This window comes from Homo sapiens, chromosome 8 (assembly GCF_000001405.40).
Source record: "Homo sapiens chromosome 8, GRCh38.p14 Primary Assembly".
In the NCBI taxonomy this organism is placed as follows: Eukaryota; Metazoa; Chordata; class Mammalia; order Primates; family Hominidae; genus Homo; species Homo sapiens.
Window position 1 is genome coordinate 50,571,729 of NC_000008.11, and position 13,882 is coordinate 50,585,610.

Below are 13,882 nucleotides of genomic sequence, written 5' to 3' on the forward strand. Positions count from 1 at the left end.
TGCAGAGTACTGAATATTCCCTAGGTGATTCGCTCTCACCTCCTACCAGGCATAGGAGTAAAGAGGTGTAAGTGAATTGTGTTAAGCAGTAGATGAAAGGCCATTAGAAAATTACAAAAGAAATCACTTTGAGTGGGCAGTTGCTCCACTGAACATGTTTTAGAAACCCCTCATTCTAAAATGGAGCTTCAAAGCCAAGGACCCCTGATGAGGGAGCAGAGGTGGTCACACACGTCACTTGAGGGTGCTTTGAGCTTCTTATGTATGAACACTGTGCATTTCATTTATAGAATACTGGCTAATAATATACCAATGGTAAAACTATTTTCTTCACCTGTGACTAAAAGTAATACTGATAAACAAAAAACAATTTTTATTATTTCCTGAAGCCCACGGTGACTGTGCTAGGTAGGTACACCTGCCCCTATGAGAAGATTCCCCTCCTTCTCATACTCCTATAGCATCTTGTTATAATACTCGTCTCAGAGACTTAGGATTATTTATTGTATGTTTGTTTCTATCACCTATTTTATATATATATATATATAGAGAGAGAGAGAGAGAGAGTCATTTCTGATGTTTGGTGAATTCATGCAAAAATGAATGATTCGACACTGAACATATACCCATAGATATTTGTAAGTGATTGCGACCTACTTTCAGGCTTCTGATTCACAGTTGTATGTGTGTGCATATGCTAATCTTAAAATGATGACTGAGACAGATAAAATTGGATAATTCTTGTTATAGGAAAATAAAGTTTAAGAAAGCTCACTCAGATATAATATCTAATCATCCTAAGGCATTGATTTACTGTTAATGGATATGTTTTGAAAAGCAACATGGCCTGATTTTAATTTTTATACATAGTCATGAGAAATAACCAAAGTAAAAGGGCATAAAAGGAAAAATATGAGCTGAAATGTGAGCTCTAGAAGCAAAAGTCATGTTTAAATTCTTCTCTTCTCATGGTAAAAGTAGAGTTTTCTCAACAGTTAGAGGTGATATATGGTCATCTTGTATCCTTACACTAATGTCGTTATTTGTCAAGTGAATTTATTTCTATAGAATAATGATCTCTCTAGGTTCTAACACATTTGTTAAATAGCATTGGCCACACATCTCTAAAAAATTGGAGGAATGTTTCTAGCTTTTTGGTTAAATCTTCAAAATGGTTCTAGCTTTTTGGTTAAATCTTCAAAATTGATTTTCACCAGAAAATATACCCTGTTAAACAGCATCCTGCATTGTCCATCTGGAGAGCACAACTCCCCAGTCATCAAGGTGTCTTGTATATGAAAGCTGGAAATTAAAAAATTGGTATCGTTAAGATACAATTTAAACATATAAGATCTTTGATTAAACTGGCAATGTAATTTTAAAAAATTCTATCCTTAAAGGCATTTAAATTCAGAAAAGAGGAATATTTTTAAAGGAAGATTTGAATTTGATTGAATTTCCCTGCTGGTCTAAAGAGGTCATCAAAGAGAATATTATTACTACTAAAAGTACATTACAAATTACTGCTAAATCAATGCTGCTAAAAGTTAATAAACAAAATTCAGGGATTTAAGAAACAGGACAATATTTAAAACAAATGTGCACTTCTGTTTCTTAAATTTTTTAAGTAAATTAATTCCAAGCAGATCTTTATTAAAATCAGTTGTAAAACTGGCTCTATTTAATGGATCTATAATAATTGAACTTACTTTAACCACTTTAAGAGGTTACCATTATTAACATTCAGTGGAATGAGTTTCTAAGAAAAAAATGTGCATATATTTGTCATTTTCCCAAGGATTTCCTGAAAGTGAATATTATTCCTTTGAATGTTGTCCGTAATATCTAAGCAGATATTTAATTTTGACAACAATATAGTTTATAAATTTTAGTAATTTGATAAACAGGATAATTCTCATTATCATTTCAGTTCTTGAGTATGAAGCATATTGTTTGATTTGTAATATATGCATTCCATAACTTTATATTTGTCCCCATGTTTTAGAAACAGAATACTCAAATTTTAAAATCATAGTTCCAGTAAAAAATGTCTAATGAAAAAGTTTCTATTTAATTTAACTGAAAATTTAATAACTTATAAGTATACTTCTTATATATAATAGTCTTATTTCTTTAATAACTGTTTTTAAATGTAAGGTTTCATTAATGCTAGTGATTCCTGTAGGAAAAAAAATAACGTGATAGAATCAAATAACAAGAATAACTGGTGAAAGTTCTTAATAAAATAGGATGATCTTAATTCTAACATTTTTTAATGTCTGGAAAAATATATATGATATTCAGCAAATACTATTTTCAGTAATTACCTGTAACATCTCAACCCATTTATGCCTAGGGTTCCATTATTGGAACGCTAAGCATGTGGGAGTTATTTATATTCTACTGCTCAAGGTCATTACCAAGGTCTGATTGCAAAAACTAAAAAAGACTGCAGCCTCAGGCATAAATAGGTTAAAATACTATTTTTTACCATTCCATTTCAAACAGAATATGAAGATTATTTTCATCTTGGGTATTTAGTATATTCTTTCACTTAAAAATACTATTCAAACTCCAGTTTCTGAAAGAGTACATCTATATTTACCTGATATTTTTATCTTTTGGAAATAAAACATGGAATTCCGTTTGCTTATGGTTGGTAAAAGATATTTTTTAAACGTGTGCCTTAATTATATTTTTACTTTAGAAATACAGTAAAGTGCAGAAAAACATTAAAGTGAAACATGTAGCAACAATAATGGCTCATGAGTGTAATATTAATGTTTTATGAGTATATATTACATATACTTGAAAATGTGTATTTTTCTTTACACATATAAAACAAAATTGCCAGCTTCCTATGTTTATGGTATTATCTTTTGTTCATATGTGATCATAAACACTTCCTCAGAACAGTAATCATATTCTGAGATTACCCACTTTTAATGGATTAATAGATGTTTGGTTTTTTTGTGTATATTATATAATAACTTACGAATGGTTTAATATTTGACATGTAAGTCATTTAAAATATTTTATTAATCCAATGAAAGCCTATGGATTTTTTTGGTGTACCAGTCAATGAAAACATTGCTGACTATTTATTTGCATAAGAACATGAATTTTTTTATTCTCATGAACCTAGCTTGACTTTATGTAATGTGACAACAATGTGTGAAAGTATATTAACATGCTGTTCAATATTTGGCCCTTATTGGTTAAGATCACATTAATGGTTTTAATCTATTGATGTTTGATCATATGCAAAAGTGGCATTTCACATTTTCACATTTTTATGAATTTTCTCTTACATAGATGTCCTTTTCTGTTTGGTCATGTTTGTTTGGCACTCTGTGCACTAGGTACTGAGTGTGGTGGTGCAATTATGTCAGACCTAGTCTGTTCAGTCCTACAGCTATGAAGGAGAGCATATGTATTTTTAAGAAGAGTTTATTATATAGTGGAGCTACTAATCATTTTGTAATGTTTTCTTGTTTTCAAGTTCGTTTATGGGGGCTTTATGAATAGCCCACTTTTTGAATATTTATTTTTATGTAGTGTTCACATTAACTTTTCTACTGAAATGACCTTCTTTGAATTTGATTAGTCCATTGCAAGGCCAAACACACCTACTTCTAAAATATGCCTCCTGATGAAGGTAATAACAGTGTGAGAATAACAATTGACAGAGCTATCATTTTCCTCTACATTTGTGGGGTGGCATCTTGAGTGACTGCATAGCATGCCCAAACACACCTCAGCTCCTTTTCTGTTTTCCAGACTCCACCATACCAAAGTAGCAAGCCCAAGGCCCTTACTTCTCTGATCTGCATGTTGGGTGCCAAATTTCTTGCTGTTTGGGGTTTAAGGTTTGGATGACTCTCCGTGAGGGCACTGCTGCTACCTCTGTATCGTTGATTGCTTGTGTGTCCTCTGTAGGGCTAGTGTGCAGGGTCGGCAGTGGAACAGTGTGAGCCACAAGGAGACAAACCAAATGTGAGTCTGTATTTCCTTTTCCATATTCTTCAAACATGTACTGGTCTTTCAAATGTGAATCTCATAGACTATTTCTGGAAATTTCTAAAAAATATTTCTAAATGAAGAGATCACAGAAATGTTCATTCATATCTTCTTCCAGGAAACTTCTTTCAGCCTCATTTTGTTTCCTTGAAATAGTTCCTCTTTCCCTCTGTCTGTATTCAATTGTTTTTTCTTTCCTTATTTTTCAGCAGTTTTACTATGGTGGGCTCAAAATTAGTAGATTTTCTTAAATTTGTAGATTAATGGCTTTATCCATTTGGAAAATTTTCAGCTCTTCCACACTATTCCATTCTCTCTCTGCTTTTCTTCCAGGATGCCAATTGCATGCATCCCAAAAATGTTTTACAGCTTTATGTCTTATGCTCAGGTCTTTGGGTTAATTTTTGAATATAATGTAATGGAAGGTCCAGCTTCATGATTTTGCATATGAATTTCCAGTTTTCTTAGAATCATTAGTTAATACGACTGTCTTTTTTCCATTGAGTGGTTTTGGCATCTGTGTTAAAAATTATTTGAACATATATGAGGGCTTATTTCTGGACTCTATTCTATTCTATGTATCTATGTGCCCGTTTTTAGACCTATAGCACATAGTTTACTGTAGTAGGAAGTTTTGAAATCAAGAAATACGTGTTCTCTGGTATTGTTCTTTGTTAAGATTGTTTTGGCAATTCGGGAGGGCCCTTGAGATTCCACGCAAATTTTTGGATAGATTTTTTATTTCTGTAAAACACCTCATTGAAATTTTGATAAGGTTTGAGGGAATCTGTGAGTTCCCTTGAGTAGTGTTGCTGTCTTAATAATATTAAATCTTCACATCTATGAAGATGGAATTTTTTCCATTTATTTGTCTTGTTTAATTTTTTAAGAAATGTTTTGTAGATTACATTTTATAAGCGTTTCACCTCTTACTTAATTCCTAAGTATTTTATTCTCTTTGATACTTTTGATACTATTATAAATAAAAATTTTAAGTTTTCTTTTCAGATTGTTCATTGTTATTACATAGAAATGCAATTTATTTTGCATGTTGAATCTGTAATCAGATAGTTTTCTAATTTATTAATTATAACAATTACTTTTGGATAAAGCTTTAGAATTTTCCACATATGAGATCATATCATCTATGAACAATGATAACATTATTTTTTCCTTTTCAATTCTTTCTTATATTTCTTTTTTCTTGCTTAATTACAGCTGCTAGGACTTGAAGTACTGTGTCAAATAATATGGTGAAAAGCAGGCATCTTTGTCTTGTTCCTGATCACATAGGAACATATTATCCTTTTCATAGGAAAAGGTTTCAGTCTTCTACCATTGAGTATGATATTCCCTGGCGGTTTTTATGTATGGCTTATGTTCCGTTAAGGTAGTTTCCTTCTATTTCTAGTATGTGGAGTGTGTTTATCATAAAAGAGTGTAGAATTTTGTCAATTGCTTTTTCTGCATCAGTTGAGATGATTATCTGCTTTTTGCTTTCATTTTGTTAATGTGGTGAACTACTTCGATTGATTTTCATGTGTTGAACCAATCTTCCATTCCAGGAATAAAACCCACTTGATAATTGTATATAATCTTTTTAATGTGCTGTTGCACTGTTGAATGTGCTGTTGAATTCACTTTCTTAGTATTTTGTTGAGGATATTTTCATTAGGTTCATAAATAATATTGGTCCATAGTTTTTTTTTTTTGTTTTTTTTTTTCTTCTGGTGTCTTTGTGTGGCTTTGGTATCAGAGTGATAATGGCCTCGTAAAATGAGTTAGGAAATGCTCCTTCTTTATTTTTTGGAAAAGTTGAAGAAGGATTGGTGTAGTACTTCTTTAAATGTTTATACATTGAGATTTGACATAAAATACATTTTTAGAAAACATAATAAATATGGAACACTGTGTTATATGTTGGCAAAGCAAGAATGTGTCAAATCTTAGTGTTAACTTCCCTCATTAGTCAGGAAAATATACTAACTTGATGATTTCCATTATTGTTGCACTGCTGTTCTTTTACTTATGTTAAAATCATTGACAAAGTAGAAAATGAGGTTTCTTTAACAAACTACAAGATGTTGAGATTATACAAAGAAAGAGGTTAAATCAGCTTCTAGTAAAAGAAGAATTAAGAAGCCTGACCAGTTATAGATTTTCAAAGTCCAGTCCTCAGTGATAAGATGCAAAGCACCAAGAGCACAGAAAGAGAAAATGGCATTATGTTTATTCAGAGCTAGAATCCTCAAAGCATTTGAAAAGATAGAAGTGGCATACAGTTTACCTCAAAAGATAGCTAATTTTTTCTGATAACACTTGTTAGGGTCATATGGACATTCTGCTAGACTGAGGGAAGTTAAAATGAATAAGACACATGTCTCTTCTTAAGGATTACACTGCATTTAGTAAACACATGCAGCAAGAGGAATAGCAGATGGAAATGTAGACCCAAAGAGAAAGTCACCAGACATTCTTTCTGAGTCCTCAGAAAAGCTTTCATGGCAGATATGGTTTTGATTATGTGGTACATGGGCATAGCCTTTGTGTCAGACTGAATTAGCTGGTGCCAATTTCAGGGTGAATTAAAGGATATTTAATCTCTGTGTACCTCAGCTAAACATGAAAATAAAATAGATTCTTGCTAGGTGAAAAAGTGAGAGGATGAGAGAGAAAGAGAGAGAGAGAGACAGCAAGAGCAAGGGAGGGTGGGAGGAACAAAAGAGGGAGAGAAAAATAAAACAGGGATGAACTGAGCTTTGGTGGGTGATATGATTTGGCCGTGTGCCCACCCATATCTCATCTTGAATTATAGTTCCTATAATGCCCACATGTTGTGGGAGGGACCTGATTGTGGAGGTAATCGAATAATGGGGGTAGTTACCCTCATGCTGTTCTCATTATAGCGAGTGAGTTCTCACAAGATCTGATGACTTTATAAGGGGCTTTTCCCCATTTGCTTGGCATTTCTCCTTGCTGCCGCCACGTAAAGAAGGATGTGTTTGCTTCCCCTTTTGCCATAATTGTGTTTCCTGAGGGCCTCCCTAGCCGTGCTGAACTGTGAGTCAATTAAATCTGTCTTCTTTATAAATTACCCAGACTTGGGTATGTCTTAATTAGCAGTGTGAAGATGGACTAATATAGTAAATTGGTTCAGGAGTGGGGTGTGGCTATAAGGATACCTGAAAATGTGGAAGTGACTTGGGAGCTGGGTACCAGTTAGAGCTTGGAACAGTTTAAAGGACTCAGAAGAAAACAGGAGAATGTAGGAAAGTTTGGAACTTCCTAGAGACTTAGAGGGCTCAGAAGACAGAAAGTTGTGGGGAAGTTAGGAACTTCCTTGACACTTGTTGAATGGCTTTGACCAAAATGCTGATAGTGATATGGACAATGAAGTCCAGGCTGAGATGGTCTCAGATGGAGATGAGGAACTTGTTGGGAACTGGAGTAAAGGTCACTCTTGCTATTCAATGAGACTGGTGGCATTTTGCCCCTCCCCAGAGATCTGTGGAACTTTGAACTTGAGAGAGATGATTTAGGGTATCTGATGGAAGAAATTTCTAGGCAGCAAAGAGGAATCAGAGCATAAATGTTTGGAAATTTTCCAGTCTGACAATGCAATGGAAAAGAGAACCCCGTTTTCTAGGGTGACATTCAAGTAGGCTGCAGACATCAGCATAAGTAGTGAAGAGCTGAAAGTTAATTACCAAGACAATGGGGAAAATGTCTTCAGGGCGTGTCAGAGACCTTCATGGCAGCCCCTCCCATCACAGCCACAGAGGAAGGAAAAATGGTTTTCTGGGCCTGGTCCAGGCCCCCCTGCTATGTGCATCCCTGGGGCATGGTGCCCTGCATCGCAGCTGCTCTGGCTATGGCTAAAAAGGCCAATGCATAAAGTATAATAATAAAAAAAAGGGGGCCAATGCGCAGTTCAGGCCGTTGCTTCAGATGATGCAAGTCCCAAGCTTTGGCAGCTTCCATGTGGTGTTTGCCCTTTGAGTGCGCAGAAAACAAAAATTGAGGTTTGGGAACTTCTGCCTAGATTTCAGAAGATGTATGGACATGTCTGGGTGTCCAGGCAGAAGTTTGCTGCAGCAGTGGAGCCCTCATGGAGAATCTCTGCTAGGGCAGTGAAGAAGAGAAATGTGGGGTAGGCACTGCCCAGTGGAGCTGTGAGAAGGCCACCATTCTCCACACCCCATAATGGTAGAACTACTGACGGCTTGCACCGTGTGCTGGGAAAAGGAACAGACACTCAATGTCAGCCTGTGATAGCAGCCAGGAGGGGAGCTATACCCTGCAAAGCCACAGGGGTGGACCTGCCCAAGGCCATGGGAGCCCACCTCTTGCATCAGCATGACTTGGATGTGAGACATTGAGTCAAAGGAGATCATTTTCGAACCTTAAAGTTTAACAACTGCCCTATTGGATTTTGGACTTGCATGGGGCCTTTAGCCCCTTTGTTTTGACAAATTTGTCCCATTTAGAACAGGTATATTTACTCAATTCCTGTACCCCTATTGTATCTAGGAAGTAACTGACTTGCTTTTGATTTCACAGGGTTATAGATGGAAGAGACTTGCCTTGTCTCAGATGAAGCTTTGGACTTGGACTTTTGAGTTAATGCTGGAATGAGTTAAGGCTTTGGGGGACTGTTGGAAGGGCATGATGGTGTTTTGAAATGGGAAGACATGATTTTGGGAGGGGCCAGGGGCAGAATGATATGGTTGGGTTGTGTCCCCACCCAAATCTCATCTTGAACTATAGTTCCCATTAGCCCAATGTGTCATGGGAGGAACCCAGTGGGAGGTAACTGAATCATGGGGATGGTTACCCTCATGCTGTTCTCATTATAGTGAGTTCTCAGGAGATCTGATGGTTTTATAAGGGGATTTTCCCTCTTTTGCTTGGCACTTCTCCTTGCTGCCACAATATGATGAAGGACGTCTTTGCTTCCCCTTCCATCATGACTGTGTTTCTTGAGGCCTCCCCAGGCATGCTTAACTGTGAGTCAATGAAACCACTTTTCATTATAAATTACCCAGTCTTGGGTATGTCTTTATCAATAGAGTGAGAATGGACTAATAGAGTGGGCCTGGGGAGAGTGAACATGAGCAAAGACACTGTGCTGTGGCAGGACAGGGCCTACATCCTAGAGTTCATACATACAAGGACCTGATACAGAAGTGACTCCTGAGAGACACATGGGCCAGGATGTGGAAGGATTTGAATTATATGTGATTTTGTTCTTTTGTTTCTGAAGTAATGGACAGTGTGTAATTACTTAAGTAAAAAATGGCCATTTCAAATTTACATTTTTAAAATGCTCCTGTAGAAACAATAGGTGCATATATAATAGAAGGTCAAACCTAAAATATTATTCTTAATCATCCATCTTATCAAGAGCACATAAAATTATAAGAATGTGCACTTGCATTTATGATGTTCTTTTGTGTTAAATGATAAATGGGATGACTAAATTCCAAAATCTGCTCTGCAACAAAGGAGGTAGATCACTTGCAGAAGTCACCAGTGATAAGGAGTGACAAGATGCTAGGAAATCCTACTGAGAAGGTTATATTTAAGAATCAATAAATTCTATGGTCATGTTTCATAAGACTACATCTCTCTTTTTTGAACAGAAATCAATTTAAATTTCATCATATTTACTCTATATTTTCTACTGATACTTCAGATGCCTCTCTCTCTCCATGTTTCATTTCAGCCCAGAAACAATTATTATTGTAATATAAGAACTTCCTTTTAAATTATAAGTATTCCTTTCAAATCTTGTATGCATGGTATGAATTCTACATTTTGAAGCCATCAGAATTACTATTGTCAATCTAAAAAAAATTAGAGATTAGTATCTCCAAATATGTTGCATTTACTCAGGAATGAAATATGAGGATTAATATTTGGGATGCCACAGTGTATCAAGTGAGGGAAGGGGAAATGGAAGCTTTTATTGGCACAATGGGAAGGGATTACATAAGTTGCTTAGAAACAAAGTTCTTTGGTTTCACAGACTCAAGCTCAGTTCGTTGTTGGAGATGTCCTTACTCGGCAAGTGTTCTTGGCAGAGCATCCTATTGAAAATATTGCAGTCCTAAAGAATGTCTAGTGATAGACCTTGTCATACAAACATAAGTATATGTGCAAAATTTGCAAGCCATGCAAAGGATAAGATGCTTGAAGGAGGTTAAGAAATTTCTTGTGGAGTTTTAGAGAGTCCTTGGAAACAGTTCTTTTCTTAGACATGTAATCATGAGTTCCCTCTCCTTCATGTCTTCCCAGCCCTATTTTGTCTGGATCTGACAAAAACAATCATCCAGTATCTGCAGGTTTCACACTATAGACATTAAGACTCAAGAACTTAGAGGGTTTTTGGTTGTTTGATTTTGTTTGTTTGATTGCTTGTTTGTTTTGCTTTTTAAGTGATTAGCTTTCAAGGCAAAGTTAAACTTCAAATTCATGAGTTTAACTTTGTTGTAACTGAGCTATTCTCTGTCTTCATTCATTCAACAAATATTAATTGAGCACCTACTAAGACCTAGGCCTTCTCTAGGTGCAAGTCGGTGCAGTATAGACTGAGACAGACAGAAGTCTGTGACCTAGAACTTACATTCTAGTGAGGGGAGCAAATAAATTACAAAAGAAAAGTATTAAAATAAGCAGTTATTAGATACTGATAAGTATCTCTATACTGATAAGTATCCTCTATACTGATAGTATAGAGGAAATAAAGATATAATTAAGCACAATGTCACATTTTTAGTGTGTATGGGTGTGTGGGTGTGTGTGTGTGTACATGTACTATGCATCTGAAAGTATCATCCTGTCTGATTTATTTGAGGTACTGCAATTTTTCTTTTAGCAGAAAATATTCCAATACAATTCTAGAAAAAAACAGGAATTCAAGCATAACATATTTTTTTTATTGAATAAGTCTGGAGGTTCCCATTTAAGCAAATACGATGACCTAGGCTTGGTTTTGAATAGCATATTTTAATGAATGTCCTTTTAAGAAAATACTACACAAAAGTGTCATTTTTAACTTTCTGTTCTATGTTTTGGGTCATTCATAGAACTAAAATCACATATTTTGGGAATTAAAAGATAGAAAAATACAGAATTCCCAAGCTCAAAGAGCCTATAGTTTTCTAGAAATCAAAGATAATTATAAGAATGACCCAATGAGTTTCCTTATCACAACTGCAGCATAAAATGAAATAAACTGATATTTAAAAAAATTGAATTTTATATTTTATGTTCTTAAAAAAATAAGAACTTAACACTACTTAGATTTTGTTTCCTTTGTGTAGGTCACACCATCCTGAATCTAGGTATGCTCTTTGAGAATACACATGAGAGCAGGCATGGTGGCTCATGCCTGTAATCTTAAGTACTTTGGGAAGCCGAGGCGAGTGGATCACCTGAGGCCAGGAGTTCGAGACCAACCTGGCCAACATGGTGAAACCCTGTCTCTACTAAGAATACAAAAATTATCAGGGCATGGTGGCGGCGCCTATAATCCTAGTGACTTGGGAGGCTGAGGTGGGAGAATTGCTTAAACCTGGGAGGCGGAGGCTGGAGTGAACTGAGATCACACTACTGCCTCCAGCCTGGGCGACAGAGTGAGACTCAAAAAAAAAAAAAAAAAAAAGAAAGAAAATACATGAGCCATTAAACCAATTTATATGATAGAAAATAACTAGCATCAAAAATTCTTGGAGCTGCAAAGCCCTCTGTCATAGACATATCACTCAGCCTCAGTTCCTTTTTGCGATAGTCATCCTGAGGAAGGATATTCACAATACATTTTACTACCCAATGGAAGGAAATAGGTCAAATCAAATGTTTCTTATGCAGTAATACGAATTTTCTTTTTTGCTGGAAGTCTCTATAAAGTTTCAAAGTGTCTATAAATCCCCTGGAACTGTAAGTAAATAGCAAAATGCTGAGCTTTTTTTTTTTTTTCTGCTAGAGGTCAGGTAAGTTTCTTCAGATTTGTTTTTTCTTTTCTTTTTTTTTTTAATTATGCTTTAAGTTCTAGGGTACATGTGCACAACATGCAGGTCTGTTACATATGTATACATGGGCCATGTTGGTGTGCTGGACCCATTAATTCCTCATTTACATTAGGTATATCTCCTAATGCTATCCCTCCCCGCTCCCTCCACCCCACGACAGGCCCCAGAGTGTGATGTTCCCCTTCCTGCGTCCAGGTGTTCTCATTGTTCAATTCCCACCTATGAGTGAGAACATGCGGTGTTTGGTTTTCTGTCCTTGCAATAGTTTGCTCAGAATGATGGTTTCCAGCTTCATCCATGTCCCTACAAAGGACATGAACTCATCCTTCTTTATGGCTACATAGTATTCCATGGTGTATATATGCCATATTTTCTTAATCCAGTCTATCATTGATGGACATTAGGGTTGGTTCCAAGTCTTTGCTCTTGTAAATAGGGCCGCAATAAATGTATGTGTGCATGTGTCTTTATAGCAGCATGATCCTTTGGGTATATACCCAGTAATGGGATGGCTGGGTCAAATGGTATTTCTAGTTCTAGATCCTTGAGGAATCACCACACTGTCTTCCACAATGGTTGAACTAGTTTACCGTCCCACCAACAGCGTAAAAGTGTTCCTATGTCTCCACATCCTCTCCAGCACCTACTGTTTCCTGACTTTTTGATGATTGCCATTCTAACTGGTGTGAGATGGTATCTCATTGTGGTTTTGATTTACATTTCTCTGATTCTTTTTTTTTTTTTTTTTTGACACGGTGTTTCGCACTGTCTCCTGGGCTGGAGTGCAGTGGTGCGTTCTCGATGACACTGAGAGAGTCCACACTAGCTCCTGAAAGAGACAACAATGCTGCTGTCACAAGCATATCCCAGCATAGCACCTGAACAGTGGTAGCCCTCTAGGTTTTAGTTTAGACAGTATCTGGAAAGAAACTTGATTGCTAAGATTTACTTTAGTGGTGGAAGGATGATGCATTAGTGTGCCTGTAACAGAAGAATACCAGTCTTCTTACTGTGATCTGGCACCGACCACAACTGTGCAAGTCAAACATGATGAAGTCCCCGCAGATGGAGCTGCCCTTCTGCTGTGTTGTGCTGAACAGCCACTGACCTGGGTGGGCACTGGGTCCATGCGTTGTTTGTTTCTCTCTGCCTGGAAAGCCCAAAGTGCTTGGAAAGGAAAGTGCTCTCAGTCAAGGAAGCCTGAGGCCAGTATTTGGGAAGAAGGGGCAGGCATTGGCTCTGGGTCATTCATACAGAATTTTCATAGATAGAACTTACTTGTCTGCTACCTGAAACAAGAACACAAGAAAACAAGACCGTATGCTTTGGCAGCTGTCTGAAAAATGAGTTTCCAAGAAATCAAGCAGAGATGAATATAATTTATGAATTTATCTTCTGTTTTTCATTTTTAAAAGGCTTAACGTGGCCTTCATTTATCTGAATCCATTTTACTTTGTGGTCATTTATAGCTCTTGCTGGTTTTGTAGAGTGATGTGTTGGGCAACCCTGGTCTAAGCCATTCTGCTCCTTTTACAGCCAGAGGATTAATAGCTTAAATAACTGTGATCCAAAAGCAGCCGGTTTTGTGATACGGACAGAAATTATGTCCTTTGATCTCTAAAAGCCTTCAAGTTCAAACACAGCCTTTATTTTAGTCAAAATTATACTCCCTTTTTAGCTACGTATAACACAAATTGTTCTGATAACATAAAATTAGCATTGGTTTCTAAGAAGTGTAACATGGAAAATGCCTTTTTGAAAAACACTGATTTGTCTTATTTGAAGATCAGTCTTAAAATGATGCAGAGAATTTAGAATTTTCATTATTT

General features: G+C 36.2%; 1 protein-coding gene across 20 annotated transcripts in view; it reads left to right on the forward strand.

The window, feature by feature from the left end:
• The window catches only part of SNTG1 (syntrophin gamma 1), an 886,897-nt gene that overhangs the window by 661,933 nt on the left and 211,082 nt on the right, over positions 1-13,882 (forward strand). Inside the window, exon 14 of one of the 20 annotated variants that reach the window (NR_135797.2) lies at positions 3,940-3,996. The exons of 18 other annotated variants lie outside the window; for them this stretch is intronic. The gene's annotated coding sequence lies outside the window, so the exon portion shown is untranslated. Of the gene's footprint in view, positions 1-3,939; positions 3,997-13,882 lie in introns of those variants that run through there. One more of the 20 variants, XM_017013582.2, reaches the window with a different exon arrangement.